Below are 2,730 nucleotides of genomic sequence, written 5' to 3'. Positions count from 1 at the left end.
AAATAAAGTGGGTTTGCACTGTGTGCCCCTCTCATTCCTAATTCTCTATTGTGGGGTCTTCAGCTGAGGGCCAGGAGCCTTCCAAAGTGGATCTAAGAAGAAGTGGGTGCTCCAGAAGAGAGTGGCCCTTTGTGTGTCATTGGAACCGATGCCCACTTGTTTGCCAAGAAGCAGTCAGGTTTACCTTGGCATTCTTCTTCCAAAGTCCTGGTCACGAGTAACCGTGTGGGCTGATGCATGTCTAGGGACTTAGGACAGCAGGGTAGGCAAGGATTTTTCTTTGGATTCAGGGCAGATTTAATCATCTTTCCTTCCTGAGAGTGAGAAGCTGCCTCCTCCAGCCTGTATCTGTTCCCTTGCTTTCTTCGTGGAGGAGAAAAAAAGGCAGTACCCGTCTCATATACATGTGTGTCTTTTCTGATTGGTCTTGGTTTCAGCAACAGGCCAGCTGGCTGTTTAGGAAAAAAAATAAAGAGCTCAATGCACATTGCCTGTGTGGGTCTGAATTCTACCCCTCTGCCAAGGACTTTGAAGGCACAGCATCTGCATCCACGGCTGTCATGGGCATTCAGGCTCTTGGATAACAAGATAAAGGGCAAAAGCTGAATTTTCTTGTGCCAAGAGGAGGAAGAATATCAGAGCCAAGAAGATCAAACCACTGCTGCCGAGAGTGGCTAAATGGTACCCATTAACCTCTGTCAGTGCTAGAGTCCTGGAAGGGGAATTTTGTCAGAAATCAGGCCTGAATGTAAAACAAGGTTTGGCTGGCTCAGGATAACCACAGGACAGGGGAGGGGTATGGGAATTTACAGTGAAAGAAGCTAAGCTGTTCCATCCCCGTCTGCAAGGATGAACCCCAGGGTTGGAATCAAGCATATTGTGAACTGATGGGATGCAGTTCCGTCCCTCATCCCGTGGAGGAAGTGGACAAAGGGAGTTCCTGCTTGTTGTGGTCACGATCCTGGCAGGCAGCCACTTTGGATGGGGCTGTGCCTGTCCTGGAGGGCCGGGAGTTGGCCACATCGGGTGTCTGTCTTCTGTGAACTGTTTCCATGCTTCCTGCTCCTGGCATCTGGGGGACTTGCAGTTTTCTACCCCGGCTCAGATTTGTTGGCTCTGTTCTTCACTCTGGCGAGAAAAGAATACTCACCACATGTTAAACGACGGATATATTGAAACTAGGATATCCAGTCCTTTGCTAAAGAGAAGACTGGAGGAACAGATCACCTGAGGATATCATTTGAAAGGCCGCAAGCAAGCAAATACCCCAAAACCACTCGGCAAGAAATTCCTCCTCCTTATTCTTTGATGGGCTGTCAAGCCTGGCTTAGCTTCTTAGCAAAAACCACCTTTCCCCCCAGCTAGTGAAACTGGACTAATAAATTTGGGTGTTCACCAAAGCCAGCCAAATAAGCCAAAATACTGCACTGAGCTCCATGCAGCAGTTATTAACAAAGGCCACTTATTCCAAAGCAAAGAGCCCTAAAACTAGGCCGAGAGCAGTGCACTTCCACTGTCTGAACAACTCCCCTTTTCGTAGAGTTGTTACTTCTGATAAGTTCTGGATCTTGTATTATTTGTGTTTTCTTTTTCTAGTCATCTAGTTTTTTAAAAAGCGGATAACTTCTTGCAGGAGTCAATTATGTTTTTATCGAGCGTAGCAGATCTGCAGAATCCTAGGCTTGGATGAAGTCTTCCTGTTCGATGCCACCCTGCCTCTCTGACAGGGAAGGAAAGTGGGAGCTCATTATTAGAAGATATTTTATTTTATTTTTTAGAGATGGGGTCTGGCTTTGTTGCCCACACTGGAGTGCAGGGGCATGATCATAGCTCCCTGCCACCTTAAATTCCTGGGCTCAAGCAATTCCCAGTTTCCTCCCACATCAGCCTCCCAAGGAGCTAGGACTAAAGGTGCATGTTACCATGCCCAGCTGATTTTGTCATTTGATGTAGAGACAGTGTCTTGCCTTCTTGCTCAGACTGGGAATTCCTGGGCTCAAGCAATCTTCTAGCCTATGCCTCCCAAAGTGCTGGAACTACAGGTGTGAGCCACTGTGCTTGGCTTTAGAAGATTTTTAGTAAAAGAAATTCAATCAGCAATTTTTGAGCATATGTATTGTAGAATAGTGTTTTTAAAATCATAGGTGAGCAGTTCCATGAGCAGTTCAGGACCAGCATAAAAAGAAATCAGTGAACTAGAATCAAGCAGATTGCACAGATCAGCTCAAATCACATACAATGAAGGTCAGATTTGCTTCTTGAAATTTTGTTCCAGTCGCTTGTATACAAATGTGACTGGATCACAATGGAAAGTACGCTGCTTATAGCAGTTCGTAATCAAGACAGCTCAAAAGTCATTGTGCATAAGCGACTTGGGTTCTGGTCCCAATTCTGCCACTGCTTCTGTGACCTTGGGCAAGACTCTTATGGGTCTCTGTCTCTCATCTGTAAAATGAAGCAATTGTCTATGACGTTTCCTCAGTTTTAAAATCCAATGACTAAATACAATTCCCAAAGAAATCAATTTCAACATTCAATAATTATCAGTCACAAAAAAAGAAATTGCTCCACATTGTCAATGTCTGTCTTTCAGGCTTTGGAAAGACATGCTTCCCCAGGGGCTCTGAAGTGTGCAGACCATGCACATGAACGAAGCCCAAGATGGGGGAAGCCACTTCATTAAACCAACTTGGCTCAGGGATAGTCTTTTTGGACTTCCAACAGAAGTTT

This window comes from Homo sapiens, chromosome 10, assembly GCF_000001405.40.
Source record: "Homo sapiens chromosome 10, GRCh38.p14 Primary Assembly".
Lineage (NCBI taxonomy): Eukaryota > Metazoa > Chordata > Mammalia > Primates > Hominidae > Homo > Homo sapiens.
Note: the sequence above shows the minus strand (reverse complement) of the source record.